The 15,738-nt window shown below is 45.9% G+C and overlaps 2 long non-coding RNA genes across 2 annotated transcripts in view; one reads left to right on the top strand and one right to left on the bottom strand.

Moving 5' to 3' along the window:
- Positions 1-10,789: 10,789 nt before the first annotated feature.
- Positions 10,790-15,738, bottom strand: part of LINC02295 (long intergenic non-protein coding RNA 2295) — a 30,747-nt gene continuing 25,798 nt past the window's right edge. Inside the window, exon 3 of the long non-coding RNA NR_184268.1 lies at positions 10,790-15,077. This is a non-coding gene — a long non-coding RNA (long intergenic non-protein coding RNA 2295). The remainder of the gene's footprint in view (positions 15,078-15,738) is intronic.
- Positions 11,359-15,738, top strand: part of LOC105370655 (uncharacterized) — a 102,277-nt gene continuing 97,897 nt past the window's right edge. Inside the window, exon 1 of the long non-coding RNA XR_001750876.2 lies at positions 11,359-11,453. This is a non-coding gene — a long non-coding RNA (uncharacterized LOC105370655). The remainder of the gene's footprint in view (positions 11,454-15,738) is intronic.

Below are 15,738 nucleotides of genomic sequence, written 5' to 3'. Positions count from 1 at the left end.
ACTCCTCCCATCCTACCTTTGACTTGACCCTTACCTCAGGCTGGATTCTAGTGTCTTCAGTTGTCCAGCTGCCACTAGAATGTGAGTTCCCTAAGGAAAGGAACCCAGCCTTGTTTCTCATAAATAAACCCAATTTAATAAAATGCAGAGACTGTAGTTTGTTGGTCTTTGGATGCTCCATAGGCAGCAGGGGACTCAACACCCAGTAGGTACACAGTACATTGTTTAATGAGCAAAAGTGGAAGGAAGAGAAAGAATAAAATAATAAATTAGTGAATGAATGTTTCTATGACTGAGTTTATCGTGGATGTTCACTGTATATTGAAGGTGAAGGTGCCAGAGACTCTCCTCTCTCCCTTATGCCAACACACCTTAAGTGAAGATCCAATCAGGGAAATGGTCCCACACCATGGACATCAACCTGACATGTGTCTGGATTGATTTGAGAGTTGTAGAAAGGAGATGATTCATTGACGGCTTCTGCTTCCCACTCATGTGATATCAATGTATGTAATTCTTCTTTCAAAATCACGTTTCACTCTTTTTAGAAAATGAATGAGGTGGGAGGTTAAAATAATAACCCTCTTTTTTTCTTGGTGGAAAATAGTCTTTGTCAATGAAATGCTGTTGCTGATGGTTCACAAATCCATTCAACCCAAATTAAAGGCGTGTTTCAAATACTAGGAGAAAAATGGTATTTTTCTCTGGCATCCTTTTGCTTGAATTTTTCAATCTCATTTTACACTTGTACGCTAGTACCATGCAACAAGGTGAAGGGGAAGGATTTGAATTTAGATCTCACTGCTCACAGGCTGTGGGCCTTGGATGAAATGCTTGACATCTCTGAGCCCCAGTTTCCTTAGTTGTGAGTGGTCAATTGTTTTGGGGTTCAGATTTCAACCTATCCTCATGCTGTTTCTCGCCTCCTCCTAGAAGCCAGAGTTTTCAGGATTATCACTTGTGGTAGCTGTTCCTGACTTTGGAGGCTGGGACAGTTGCTCTGTCCCTATGCCACTCCATTTGAATAAGATCCTAATAGCTGGCTGCTGCTTACAGCTTCATTCTAAGTCCCCCAGCTCTAGTAAAGCCTTGTGGAAGGCAGTTTGTTCTTTGTAGGTTTTCGTTAGAATCTCACCTTAGTAACTAACTTGAAATTTCTGTGATTTGTGTCCAACAATTTCTATTTTCTGATCCACATTTGGCTAATGACCTCTCTCTAGAAGAAAGATTGCAAAGATCAAATGGGAAAATATTAAGCTTCTCTGGCCCTTTATTCTATCATCTTGCGTACTCTTGGCTAATCTTTAAATACACCCAGCAGGTTTCTGCCGCAGGGTCTTTGCACTTTCTCTTTTCCTCTGTCTGGGAAGCTCTTTCCTGGTTAGCAACACACTTTGTCACTTCGCTCAGGACACCTCAAAGCTCCCTTGTCAGTGATCATTCTCCCCTGCCCCCAGCATTTTCTATCCCATCATCTGCCTTTATTTTTCTTCAGAGCACTTATCACCTCCTGAAATGCCGGGTCTCATTTACGTCTCTATATAATGCCTTTCCCCAGCCCACCATTAGAGCAAAGACTTCCTCTCTTGTTCACTATTGCATCCACAGTGTCTGGCAGGTGATAGGTGCTCCATAAATATCTGTTGAATAAATATTTCTGTTTGAAATATAATAGAACTGTCACCCAGAAAATGCCAGCTATCCTGTGCTCTATGAATCACCTTCTCTTTGGAGAGAACCATGGGCTCAGTGGAAGAGTAGGGACCATCAGCCGCCACATGACTTAAGCTTTATGCTCTGAGGGTAGAATGCCCTGGAGTATGCATGTGAGAAGAGACAGCCACAGAGACAGGGAGAAAGGCCTAGAGAGAGACCGACAGGGACCAAACCGCAAGGTCGTAGACAGAGACATGTAGAAGGAAGCAGGTTAGAGAGAGGCCCAATGCAGGAGAGAAACAGAGAGATCAGAGCAGAAACCAAAAAAAAAAAAAAAAAAAAAAAGGAAGAAACAGAGAGGAGAAAGACTAGCCACATCAGAGTGGAAACAGGGAGGCTGAGCATGCAGGTACCAGGCCCCAGTCCTTCCACCCACTGTCCGCACTTCATCCTTCCAGAGTCTGCCTCTCACCTGCGCACAGAGAGATACTTCTTGCATCAGCCCCTGGCCCTTTGGAAGCCAAGCTTCATCCTATTTACTCAGCTCTTATGGTCAGAGCTGAGCTCTTTTGTGAGTGGCAACATCCCTGAGGGCTCTCCAGAGGCCTGGAAATCCTCTGTAGCACCAGGGCAGGGACAGCTAATTAATACTGAGAAGGTCTTGGTGGCTCCTGCTAATTGCCCTGACCTAGGCAGGTCTTCATGGGCTGTTACCTCCTCCCCAGCCCCAAGCTCCCAGGGGCCATGTCCTACTCCAAGCACAGGACAGCAAATTTGGAAGAGGTGAAAATTTTACTACATCTTTGTGCTTGACTCTGAAATTCATTACAAAGAACATCTGCAAATATGGACAACCTTAGAGTGTCCCAATGGCCAATACATGAATAACCTTTAAGTATATAATCTCACAGAAACCTTGCAAGGAAGCTGGTGCTGTTTTCCTCTTTGTAACTGGGCAACCTGAGGCTCTAATGAGTTCCAGTTTGGCCGAGGATGCCACAGACTTTAGTTTCATAAACGAGAATTAGGGTTGAGGTTGATCGATCTCTCTGACCCCTATAATTGCCACTATCCAAGGGTGTCTACAGGATACACCTTCAAAGTGGGACTACAGATTTGGTTTGCAGGCCCACGATCTGTTTTCAGAAACCTTTGAAACCACATGTAATTTAGAAATCAGAATTTGGTACATTTAAAATAATATGTCTCATAATTACATATCGTAGAGCATCTTGCAGAGGAGTCTAGGACAGCACTTAGGGATAGAACACAACATTTTTGCAGTGAAATAAATGACTGTTTACATTACATGAGAAAAATAAAGACTATAAATAGCCTTATATTAGTTCTATCAGTTCAGGTCAGGTTTTACCACCAGATTAATGATAAAAACTACTTTTGGTTTTGCAAAACTTCTTTGGAATCATGACTATAAGATTATAGGCTGGAACAGAATAAGTCTCAAGAGAAGGTCTTTCTTCTTTTCCATAGGTGGACCACACATATGGCAACCAAGAACCACACACAGTTTCACTTTATCAATTAGGTGTTGTTCACAAGTAGGGCATGCATGGAAAGCAGAGAACATTCTTCAACCAAGTTGTTGAGGGCAGACTGCTGTCAGCCTGGCCAGGTTTAATTTGGGGTGATGCCCTCATGGGTGTGTCACCCAACCTCAATGTGCATAGCAGTCATCCTAAACTCTTCTTAGGGAGGCCCCTTGGCCGGAATAAAAGATCAGCCCAGGGACCGATGCACAGTAAGTGTTCCCTAATGTTGCCTAAGATTGCTATTACCCAGAAGAGGCTTCATGGCACTCACATTAAACCTACATTAAGTAAGCAGACGCATAGACCGTGGGCATTCAACAATTGGTAACTTATTTCTCCAAGCCTTTCTCTAATCAGGGTCTTTGCAATGCAGTGCATTTAATGTGAAGCAGTGTTCAGATGTGCATTTCCCACCCTCCAGCCAGTGCACAGCTCTCCACTATTAAAGCTCATGCACCACCCTCTTTAGAAACACAGAGGGTAGAGTCAGGTAGAAATCACAGGAGACAGGGCTTTTTCTAGGACTTTAGTTAGGTACGTCTTCTCCAAAATTCTGGAAGAATCTTTCACACCACTCAAGACAGCTCATGAGAAAAAAAAGCATCTCTTTATATTTAGACCGGCGATCTCACCGCAGGTGCCCCACTTGTGTGGGAGACAGGCTATTTTTTTTTCTAGGCCCCAAGAAAACTTCTCCCTCCTCCCATCTGATAGGGTTGCTGCTACTTCCTTTACAGTGCAAAGATCAGAGGGGCAGCTCCCATCCCCCACCAGTGTGGCGAAGGAAGAGGGCAAAAAACAGGCCAGGTTTTCACAAAGGAAGACCAGAAGCTGCAATGATGTAACGAAGTACAGTGCATGCCAGTTCATGGGCAGGCAGGAAGGAAGGCAATCGCAGGCTTTGAGGCAGGGCACCTGCCTTCTACTTGTCTGATTTTAGCAGCTGGAAGACAAAAAATAACTTGGGCTTCCTGCAGCGTGAGCTCCTCAGTAATCCCCTCTGAGATGGGGTGGGTATGGAGTCTCCTCATATGGAATCACAGCTCAGAAAGGATTTGCTGCCTCAGTTTTCTCATCTGTAAAGTGCGTGGCTGATGACCACTTCACAGGACTGTGAGGAGGTAATAATCTTAAGTATAAGAAAGAATCTAACATATAGCTAGGGAGCAAATGAACTAAGGATTCCTAAGCTCGTGATTTTGCAATCATTTCATTTGATCCTTTCCAATCTATGGCACTGATTACTTTTATCTCTATTTATCAATAGAGAGATGAAGACACAATATGCTCAAATGATTTGCCCAAGTCATGGGTAAAACCAAAGCCAGTGTTGGTTCTTTCTGACTCTGAACATACATTAATTAATTTCATTCATTATGCTAATTGTAAAACTGAAGCTAAAATGATCACAAAGAAACACTGATCGGTAACTATAACAGTAAGAATGCAATTATTGTTCTGATCAAAGAGTCCATCTTTGCAAAGACTATTATTGCAAGAAAATATTACATGTTCCTATTTTTATAAGTAAGCACCCTTCCTAGCTCAGGGTAGAGGGTCAAGAATTAACTGTTGACTTAATTTGCATCCAGACTGCAACCTTTTTGTGGGCATCTGGGCCAATGTGCAAAGATGGACTTGCCCTGCAGATGGCATGACCCTGGAGCATTTCAGGTTCTCTACCTGGCTGAGTCTCTGGGCCTAGGAGGGGAAGAGGTTAACTTTCGAGACCTTTGAGAATGGGGACCTGTGTCTTTAATAGATTGGCCTGCTCCTGCCTTCTCAGGGCAAAGCGCAGCAGCTGGGCTGCCCCCCAGGCCCAGGCCTCCTGTTTTGCACAGCCTCTAAAGCCAGCGTGGCTCTGCCCTGGGAGTCTCCCGGCCACAGGTGAGGTTCCTTGGCCCCAGCAATGCCCAGGGGGCCAATCAGGCTGGGCCTGCATGAGGTAAGATGGAGAATCACCCTGTGTGCTCTGGGCTCTCTCAGAAATCTCAGCAGATCAATGTCACCGTGGCTTTAATTACCCCTCCTAGGCCTCATCCTTATTTCATGGCCTTTAATATGCCTGGTAGGCAGCTGTGGACACACAGATAAACAGCCACCCACCATGGCCTGGCCGGAGGTGGTGCCCACTGTGGCCTCCTAGGCCAAGGGACGGTGGTCTGACAGGGCCCTAGCCCTGCCCAGTGCAGAGCATTTTGACACCTAGATCCTTTGAGTATCTTGCAACAGCCCTGTTGTACAACGGAGGCTTGGCACCAGTTTGCTGAGGACCTACTGTGTGCCAGGCATTGCCCCTGAGCTGGAAGCACTGCGGCAGGCCCCAAGTGACTTCTCTGGGCTGTTTCCTGCTGAGGCCCCTCTAGTCACAGGCTGTCCCTGTGTGCTTACAGCCTTTTGCCTAGAGCAATGTTCTCAACCCAGGGCGATTTTGCCCCCAGGGGACATTTGACAATGCCTGGAGATATTTTCCGTTATCACAACTGGAGGAGGGACTGCTACTGGCATCTAGTGGGTAGAGGCCAGGGCTGCTGCTCAGCACCCTACAATGCACAGGACAGCCCCCCACAAAGAAGGATCTAGCCCCAAATGTCAACAGGGCCAAGGGGGAGCAACCATGTAGCACAGACAACTTCCTTAACATGGCATATATAAGGTTGTAGAGGTCCCAGGGACTTCCTGGGCCACTCCCTGAGTCAGGGTTTCTTCTTCAACAGTTTAAATCAACCATGGGTCCCCTTGCTCCTGACCGGCCACCCACCACACAGAGCTTGCCTCTTGCTTGTCCTAGTTCCTCTATCTGGATGTTCTCATTTTTTTCGAGGGCTGACATGCACCCATCTTTAATCACACCTTGCCTTGGAAGCCACCTGGAGTGGCCATCCCTGGCTTAGTTGTTAGCCCCGGGAATTGCATGGGTTGGTTTATGTTCCTTCCCCAATACCTATCACAGCAAACCCACAGGTCACACACTGAATCCCACACATGGTTCACAGGCATAGTTAAAGTATGGGAACTTAGTTTACATTTTTAAGTAGATTAGAGATATCCAGTGACAACTCTGTAAAATGGTCTTTTTATTGTACAAATGCGCTGCTGCGTTTCTCTGCATACACAAGGGACCCTGTGGCTCATGGGGAAGAACACAGGCTTTGCAGCTGTCCTCTCAGTCCCTGGGGGCACACAGCCCCCTGTGTCTGGATCAGTGATTGGGACAAGTCAGTGCTCAAGAAATACCTGTTGTGTCGATGAATCCATCGTATGTTCCTTGATGGAAAAGAAGAGTTTTAACTAGCTGACCCAGGCTGGGATCCCCTTGAAATCAGGATCAGGGGTAATGGCTTTTTCATTCTTCTAACTCCTGCTCCCATCCCAAGGTTACTAAATCCACATTTGCTAATCTTGGGATGCAGGCCTTCAAGAACTGTCATTTGGATAAGTTATTCCCTCCCTCTCAGCTCCAAGTTTTAAATCAGTAAAATGAGAAGAATGAAAGCACCTCCCTCCAGGTGCTCATGCGAGGGATTCCCGGTGTGAGGCCCATAAAGCATTGATGCCTGTGGAGCCGGGAGTGCAGTGCTGGGAACAGACTAGGGACTCTCTCTCTCTGGAGTACAACAGGTTGGGTCCTACTTCCATGTTTTTGCATACGATTTTTCTGCCTGAGACGTGTCAAGTAAAGGAGGCAGAGGGGGACAGGAAGAACTTCCTAGGGCACCTTCTCACTCCCCATGAGGAGTGCCTGAGGGATCTACGAACCAAATGAGAGGCAGTGGCCCCTGCTGAGGAGTCTCTGCCCCAGGTCAGCTGTGCTGCCTCCCAGACCACACAATAGACCTCAATGACTAGGAAAGATCCTTCCAAACCTTATGTCATGCCATTGCCAAGTGGCCTGGCTGGTATCTTACCTTTTCACAAAGCACCACATCTGAGGGAGAAAGAAGAAATACCTCTCAGGTTCAAATTATAATACAGGGTTTGACACTGAGTGGGATCATCATTGGGTTGTAATTTATTTTGTTTCTTAATGGAAACTGAATCTATAATATTTTTAACTGGTCAATAAACTAATCAGTTAGATAGCTGATTGCCTATTAGACTTAGAGAAATAAGAAAAAAAATTCACTTGTTTAGGTTTAGGAGAGATTTGAGTTTAGCTTCTCACCAATTCGACTTTAAAATATTTGAGTTTCCCTAAGGGAAAATTCTTTCAAGAAAAAATTATTCAATTTTTTCCAATAAAAAATTCTGAAAAATTTGAAAACAAACAAACAAACAAACAAAAAAAAACAGCAGCAATTTGGAAAGGACACAGAGATCTATTTATTTCAGTCTTCCGCTCACCCTCCCATCCTTTTGCTTGTCCTTCTGCACCCATTCTGGAACTCCTACACATTGGACCACGGCCAGAACGCCACCTGTGTGATGCTCAGGGATTCACGCTGGTTCAGGACCTAATTTGCACTGATGCCTCTTCGAGGAGCTTTATGTCACCCTCATAGCAGTCCTTACAGGGAAGCATTACTTTCCCCACTTCTGCACAGATTTGCCAATTTTCCCACGTTCACAGAAACTGCACCTTTCAAAGCTGGGTTTTGACCCAAGACAGTCTGACCTCAAAACTAGTGATCTTTCCTCCACAGAAACATTCATGAGGTAGCCCAAAATTACATGAGGAGCTCTCTAAGGCAGTTTGTCCATTCAGTGATGGGCTGTACTAACAGGACATTTTGAACTTTAACCTCAATTTGAAGATTGTGTTTTTCCTGGACTATGGACATTTTCCCAGAATGGGAGTTGGGGGCATGGTGTGTCATTTCAAGCTCAGTGACAGAACTCAGGACATCTCTGACTGAACTGTGGGCAGCCCTGACTGAACTCTGGTTGTCTCTGACTGAGCTCAGGCTATCTCTGACTAAACTGCCTCTGACTGAACTCTGGTCATTTCTGACTGAACTCTAGCTATTTATGACTGAAATCTTGTCATCTCTGACTGAATTCTGGCCTTCTCTGATTGCATTCTGGACAGCTCTGACTGAACTTTGGTTGTCTCTGGATGAACTCTGGGTGTCTCTGACTGAACTCTGGGCAGCTCTGACTGAACTCTGGTTATTCCTGACTGAATTCTAGTTGTTTTTGACTGAACTCTGATAATCTCAGACTGAACCCTAGTTGTCTCTGACTGAATTTTGGGCATCTCTGGCTGAACTCTGATAGCTCTGATTGCACTCTGATCATTTCTGACTGAATTCTAGTTGTTTTTGACTGAATTCTGGTAGCCTTTGACTGAACTCTGAGTGTCTCTGACTGAACTCTGGTCATTTCTGACTGAATTCTGGGCATCTCTGACTAAACTCTGGGCAGCTCTGACTGAACTTGGGTCATTTTTGACTAAATTCTGATTTTTTTTTTAACTGAACTTTGGTCATCTCTCACTGAACCCTGGTCATCGCTCACTGAACTCTGGGCATCTCTGACAACTCTGGGCATCTCTGACTGAACTCTGGTTGTCTCTGGCTGAACTCTGGGTGTCTCTGACTAAACTCTGGGCAGCTGTGATTGAACTCTGGTTATTTCTGACTGAATTCTAGTTGTTTTTGACTGAACTCTGATACTCTCAGACTGAACTCTGGTTGCCTCTGACTGAATTCTGGGCATCTCTGACTGAATTCTGGGCAGCTCTGTCTGAACTCTGGTCATTTCTGACTGAACCCTCAGCATCTCTGACTGAACTCTGGGTGTCTCTGACTGAACTCTAGGCATCTTCAGCTTCTACTCCCTGGTGTGGTGAGCACAGGGTGTGTCCTAGAGCCATTGCTGGAGACCCAAGTAGGACTCGTTGGCCCTCTCCCATCTTTTAAAGTTCTCCACCTTCTGTATGTTTTGTTAGCGCCTTAATACCAACCCCTCACACCTTCCTGGCACCCTATGATCCAGTAACGTTCACAACTTGTTCCCACATCTAAGCTCTCCCATGAGGCCGCAGGGCAGTAGCTGTTTCCCTGCTGATAAGCCAGTAAGAAGTCTTTGAAACCCTGAGCCATTTCTTTTTCTCTTTTTATAATGGTCTGCCTCTCAAACAATTTCATCTCCAGCATTTTTCCCCGTTTTTTGGGATTTTATTATTATTATTATTTTTAATCTGATAGAGAGGGTGGAAGCTAAAAAAAATCTCACAAAGAAACTGTAGAAAAATCCGTCACCATCCATTTCCCCCCACCCTGGAGACCTTGCTGTTTTAGCCGCTCCAAAGAAACACTTTCAGTTGGTCACACCCTTTGCCAACAGCTGAGCTCGTGGCCTGGTCACGTTTATAGCTCGCCCTGGAACGCTCCATGTGGCGGAGGCTTTGGCGGAGCAAAACCACAAGCCACGGTGTCAACTGGCTAAACACCAACCCAGGTGACGGGGGAGGAGGCTCAGGGTAGACACCTGCATGTCCGCGCACACTGGTGGGAGGGCAGGGGCAGGAGGCCGAGTTCCGGCAGGAAGGCCACTGGGCCCTGGATCGGAAGGAGGGGTAGGGCAGCAGAGGCCAACATCAGCAGCTGGGACCTCCGCACAGCTGGGATGCTCTCCAGCAAGGGATTCCTCTCCTGATAATGGAGCCAGGGAAACTAGAAGGGCACGGCCACTGCTCCACTGTGCAGAGCGTGCATTTGTAAACATTAACCACCCTTAAAGTCGCTCTTTGAGAGAGGCCTGGATACAGAAGTGAATATTTTAAAATATTAGGGTTTATCAAGGCACTTTTTAAAGAAAGCACCTGTACAGTCCCCACGGGAGGAGAGATGCGGTAGGCAGTGCAGCCCCTGGCCCGTGTGTGGCCAGCCCATCCTAGGTCTCCCCTTCCTAACAGTGAAGTCTCCTCTCCAGCAGAGTCACCCTAACGGTAGAGAGAGGAGAGGCAGGTGGGAGCCTCCATGGTGGCATGTGATGAAAGGCAAAGCTAGACGAGGAAGACAGGAAGAAAGGAGGAAGGCACCGTAGGCAGAGGCTGATTTTTTGGGGATTGTGGCTCGAGCTGTGAACAGTCGGTGCTCCTTCTCTGAATGAATTTTCTGGAAAATCTCCATTTAAGATCCAAAAAAAACTAGGGCTCCTTTCTGTCCTCCCCTTCAGTCTTGCTAAGTGGTGCCGCCAGCAGGACCAGAGGATGACCCTGAGGGCTTCTGTTTCCGAAAGCTTAGCCCCACCCTCCTGCCACCCCAAAGCCCTGCACTCCCCTCTTTGCTCATGGTCAGCAAGTAGCCCTGACAAGTGTCCCATTTGTTTGTCAACGTTGGCTGTGAAAAATCATGGGGAAGCAAATTGCTTTTCTGTGGAAGGGGGTCAGGGATCTGATGGGAAACCCCAACTCCTGGAAACCAGCATTGGTGGGGACATCTTTGAGAAATAAAAAAGGAAATGCCTGGAAGCCCTGGGGTTGGGGCAGAAAGCCAGTGCCTCAGAGCCAGCCCCGAGAGCTCTCAGGGCGAGGCGGGGAGGAAGCTGCTGTCAGAAACACGCGGCGAGTGTGTGGCCAAAGCACTCCATCCAACAGGTCCCCACGCATTCTAAATAATTAGGCTGACATCTGGGAATGATTTATAACCACAGTTTATTTGATCCAACAATAAAATTCCAGAGTTTGGCAAGGTGATGAAGGCCGTCGAGGCCGAAATGTGAACGTGATATTGTTAAGCTAAAGAAAATGCATCTATAAATCACATTACACATCCTTATGGGGATTGCAGATTAATGTGCTCAAGTTGACAGGATTTTGGACTCCAAAACCAGTTTTACAAAATGGTCACAAGAAAATAAAAATCTAACTAACAAAACAAATTTGAAGAAATTGGGTGGGGATAGGAAGAAAGGGAAACTTAAGGAAGGGCCCACATCTCTGCATGTGTGAACTCTGATTGGGGAGTAAAGCCAAAAGGAGAACATTTTGGCAAGTTGGATTATAATGATGAGTAGGGTTTATTGAGCATTTACTGTATGCCAAGCACGATGGGCCTTTAAGCGGTATCTCATTTCATCCTCACAATAGCGCAGTGGCGTAAGCAGCACATTACAGCTGAGGCAACTGAAGCATAGAGAAGTGATATAATCCCCCAGGTAGCCCCCCTTGACCCTGGTGGAGACAATATTCAAACTGAGAGCCCCCGCACTCTCACCTCACAGACGGAGCAGACAGATCAAATGGAAAGGCTCCCCCATCCTGTCCTCTACACCACCTTGCAGCTGGGCCTCAGCAACTGGGTATGTAGAATGCGGATGATAACGCTCGCCATGTGGACTTGTCATTGGGATAATGTTTAATTTAATCTGATAAAAATACTGATTGACCACAGTGCTCAGTAACATGTTGGCTCTCGAGGTGTGGCAGCTTCTTCCTTGCTTTTATTCCTCCTGTAGAAAGTTAATTGAATTTCACATGACTTGCAGCCAGTGGGCAAGGGATTGACTCACAGCAAGATGCGTGCTATTCTATGTAGGAGACAGGCCATGACGGCTATCGGGAAACAATCTGAGCCATGGTATTGTCATTCCCTGCCTAATGGTTTGTTGGGTAATGAGGGACATTGAGACTTCTACCTTGTGGCAAATCAGCTCAAGGCCTACCACCTGTATCCAGAAGATCATTCACTCAGGGATCAGCCAAGGTTAATCACAATGGTCCTGCCAACTGGCCCGTTTATCCGATCAGAATAGACAGGAGCTGGGAAGCAAAAATGAACATGGGTCATTCGCTCAGTGCCTAGGCCACAAGGAAGATAAGCAAAGCGTCCCTTAGTCCAGGGCCAGCTCAGCCTAAGAGGGTGAGTCCTTACTTGTGTCCCAGCCTGTCTACACTGAGCTGGAGTTCCCCAATTCTCACAAACCCATGGCTGGGCATATCCACTCTAGTGATGCTGTTTGCGCTTCAGGGTGGTCCTTAGGATTTCATAAAGCACTTACCTAAAATTAACTCATATTTTATTGCAAATAAGACCTACACATTGCCAAAAATTCAAACTACATAAAATGGATAGACAAGAAAAATTATTTTTTGTTTTGGGGATGACCACTGGTTTTTATTCATTCTTTCAGGAGTAGTCTACATGTTATCATGCATGTTTGTCTCTTTGTGTGATACGCTGTTCTGCCTCTTGCTTTTTATTCAGCTAACAATAGTTAATTTTGTTAACTCTTCTGTATCAGCACATTTAGAGTGACCTCATTTTTCTTCACGATTGCATAGGGCTCTTTTGCATGACTGGATTATCATAGGGATTCCTGTTTAGCTGAACATCCCGGCTGCTTTCAGACTTTTACCATTATAAGCAATGCAAGCAGCAAGGCCATCCAGGAAAACCAAGCCTGGTCTTAGAAGTAGGTTTCTGGTAGCAAAGCAGAGTTTCTTTCCCTGCGGGCACTATCTGCCAGGTCCTGAGCCTAGGTCTGGTGATAAGGAGGTGCCTCCTGCAAGCCCTGCCTTGAGGGTGTCTGGATGCATGGTTCAAGGGCAGCTCTTAGAAACCATAGAAACCACAACCAGCTTCCAGCCCTCAATTCCAGGCAATCTCCAGATCCCCAAGTCTTGCTCCCAGACCTCACTGCACTGCTGGTTCCATTAGGCCATCCAGAGAACACAATGGTATTGAGGTGCTAAACAGAAGGTCTTCAGTTTAAGAGATGAGAGCAGAGCTATCTCTTAGGGTTATTATGAAGATTACTAAGGGCTCAGTGTGTATCGGGGTGCTGAATTTTGTGATGGTTATCGGGGAGACTGACCTGAAAACAGATCCTGTATAATACAACTCGGTGGGTGCCATTACTCAGGGATGAGAAAAGACACGCGGGGTGTTGTTTTTGTTGTTGTTGTTGTGGGGAGTCTGTATTTTATTCTTGAAGGGTAAAGAAAGATTTCACAGAAAGTAAAAGGTTTTGAAGGATGAATAGTTTTCCCTACCTTTAAAAAAATAATAGAGAGAATTTCAGGATTCCAGGTAGAGAGAATAGCATAGTCAGAAAGGTGGAGAGGACATTGTGTGTATGTGTGTGTGTGTGTGTGTGTGTGTGTGTGAAAGAGAGAGAGAGAGAGAAATAGTGGAGAAAGTCACAAAGGGAGTTCAGATGCAGCATCAGCCCAGGTCACCAATCCTGTTGCTCTGTAACTTTGGGTGGGGCTGTGGCAGCCCCCAGGGCAGAGGGTACCAGGACAAGATAGCGCTCCCAGGCACCTTTGCTCATTACCAAGACGCTGCTGTGCCAGAAAGTTGTTTCAAAGCCTTTCCTAAACTCCTCTGTCCCCATGCCCTATGCCCTTGGCAGAATAGCACAGCACTTAACAACAGACTGCTGGTCTTAGAAGTAGGGGTTCTGATGCTGGGTTCAAATCCTAGGTCTGTCCCTGGCTAGCTCTTTGACTTTCTGCAAGGTGCTTAACACGACTTTCTATCCCAGTTTCCTCATCTATAAGATGAGAGCAGAATGACCTACTTTAATGGGTGGCTGGGAAGTCTAAATGGGCTAATCCATGTACAAAGTTTAGAATGCAAAACAAAGCCCTCCAAAATATTATGGTTACATCGCTCTTAATAGCCACTGTAAAGTCTTGTAAGCATGAGGTTCCGGGATAGAGAAGAAAGTAGGAGGATGGGCTGTGAAACAGGCAGTTGTCACATAAGTGCTCCTACAGGGCAGGGAGGAGGGGACAGGATGGTGGAGGAACCAGGGGCCACTCCCCACAGAAAGGGATTTGATCCGGCTCTTAAAGCAAGATCGGGCATTGCCAGGCCTGAGTGAGGACACCTGGGGCCAGGTTTCTTTTAAATCTTTCTGTTCTCTCCCACAAGCTGAGGAAGCCTGAGTGTTCACAGCCACCATCTCCCCTTAATCCCGATGCTTCCTTCGCCTCAACGGGCATTTAAATAATGCAGCTTTGGCGGGAGGTGGGATGGGTCTGAGAAACTTCCTAACTCGCTGGCGCCCCTGTATGCGGGTGCCACTGCATAATGATCGGGGCTGGCTGGAAAGAAGAAACTTGGTTCAAAATGTATGAGTTCATTTTTATGTTCTACTGAGAAAATTTATTCAGTGTGACTGCTCAGTAGCGAGTGCCGTAAAACACCTTAATCCCTGGTTGAAGAAAGGTAATGTCTTGACAGATGTGTGCCTCCTACTTTCCTCCCGGCCATGTTTCAACAACAAACCTTTATTTCTGCTTCTCGGCTGTAGCAGGCAAGAGAAAAAAATGAGGAGAGCAATAAAGCAGTCAGAAATCTCAGGAGCCAGGCGGCGATGCAATCGTAATGACAGATTTTTAATGTGGCGGGAGAGATTGACAAGGAAATGTCTTCAGAGCAAACGCTCACCAGATGGAATGCAAACGGTTTATTGGAGTAGAGAGGTGCAGCTGAACCGAAGAGAGGGCGGGTGGAAGGTGGTCTTTCTGGCTGCTGCAAGTAAACACGCCCGACACAGGGAGAGGGGGAAGAGAAAAGACACGAAAAATAGCAAGAGGAGGGAGAAAGGCACTGGGCGAGATCCCAGATAGGCCATTCTGAGAAGCATTTGGCGTCTCCTCACACCCCGAACTGGAGCCCAGCGTGAGGCCCCAAGAGGCTGATGAGACAGCAGAGGACCACATTTGGAAGCAAGAAGACCTGGATTCAAGACTGGCGTTCAACTGACAAAGTTCCATTGGATCTTGAAGCCCAGGCATTGTTCTGGAGCTTCTGTTCCTTCCGACGGTGCAGATGTTTTTGTGTGGCCAACATTTTCAGCATTGACTTGATGGCAGGTCCTGCCTGGACCAGGCACTGCAGACAGTGAGGAGAGGGGAAGCTCTGTCCTTGAGCTCAATGAGATGTACACGTGTAGCATTTATCAATCAGGTCTCTGTACAAAATAATACATTTATTATTAAAATGGTGTGTATGTGTGCAAATGTAAATATATACCTGTGTATTCATTTATTTACTCATCCACGCTATCCATCCATCCATCCATCACTCTTTAAAATCAGTTTCCTGTATATAACTCATAATATATTTGAAGTGGCCAAAAAACGATAATATCCTCCAATTCAAAATTCTCCAAAGGCATATGATGTCATTTAAAAACAGTCAGAGTAGGAAAACCATTTTATAAAATTCTGCAAAATAATCAAATATTAATAATATGTGTGAGTCCAGAGAGATAGTATTACATATAAGGGCCATCTGTTTTTAAGTATACGAAGATGTGGTATAAAAGTGCATAAGAATGGCTACAGCAAAAAATAAAATGAACATTGAATCAATCCTGAAGACCATGTGGATTATGCCAATGATCTGAGGCCCTCCAGTTCGGGAATTCTTCCAGTGTTATCATAACCAGCTCTGACCTTGAGCAAACCGTTTCTTTTTTGCCAGACTCGGTTTCCCCACCTTGTAAAATCAGATGCCCAGGTAACATGATTCTCACCATCTTTTTGTGACTAACATTTTATTTAGAACGCTAAGTGCAAATTTCTGCCAGTGGATATTCTCAAGGCCAATAGTAACTTTAAAACAACAAA

The sequence above is a fragment of the Homo sapiens genome, chromosome 14 (genome assembly GCF_000001405.40).
Source record: "Homo sapiens chromosome 14, GRCh38.p14 Primary Assembly".
Lineage (NCBI taxonomy): Eukaryota > Metazoa > Chordata > Mammalia > Primates > Hominidae > Homo > Homo sapiens.
Note: the sequence above shows the minus strand (reverse complement) of the source record. Positions and strands in the feature narration are given on the sequence as shown.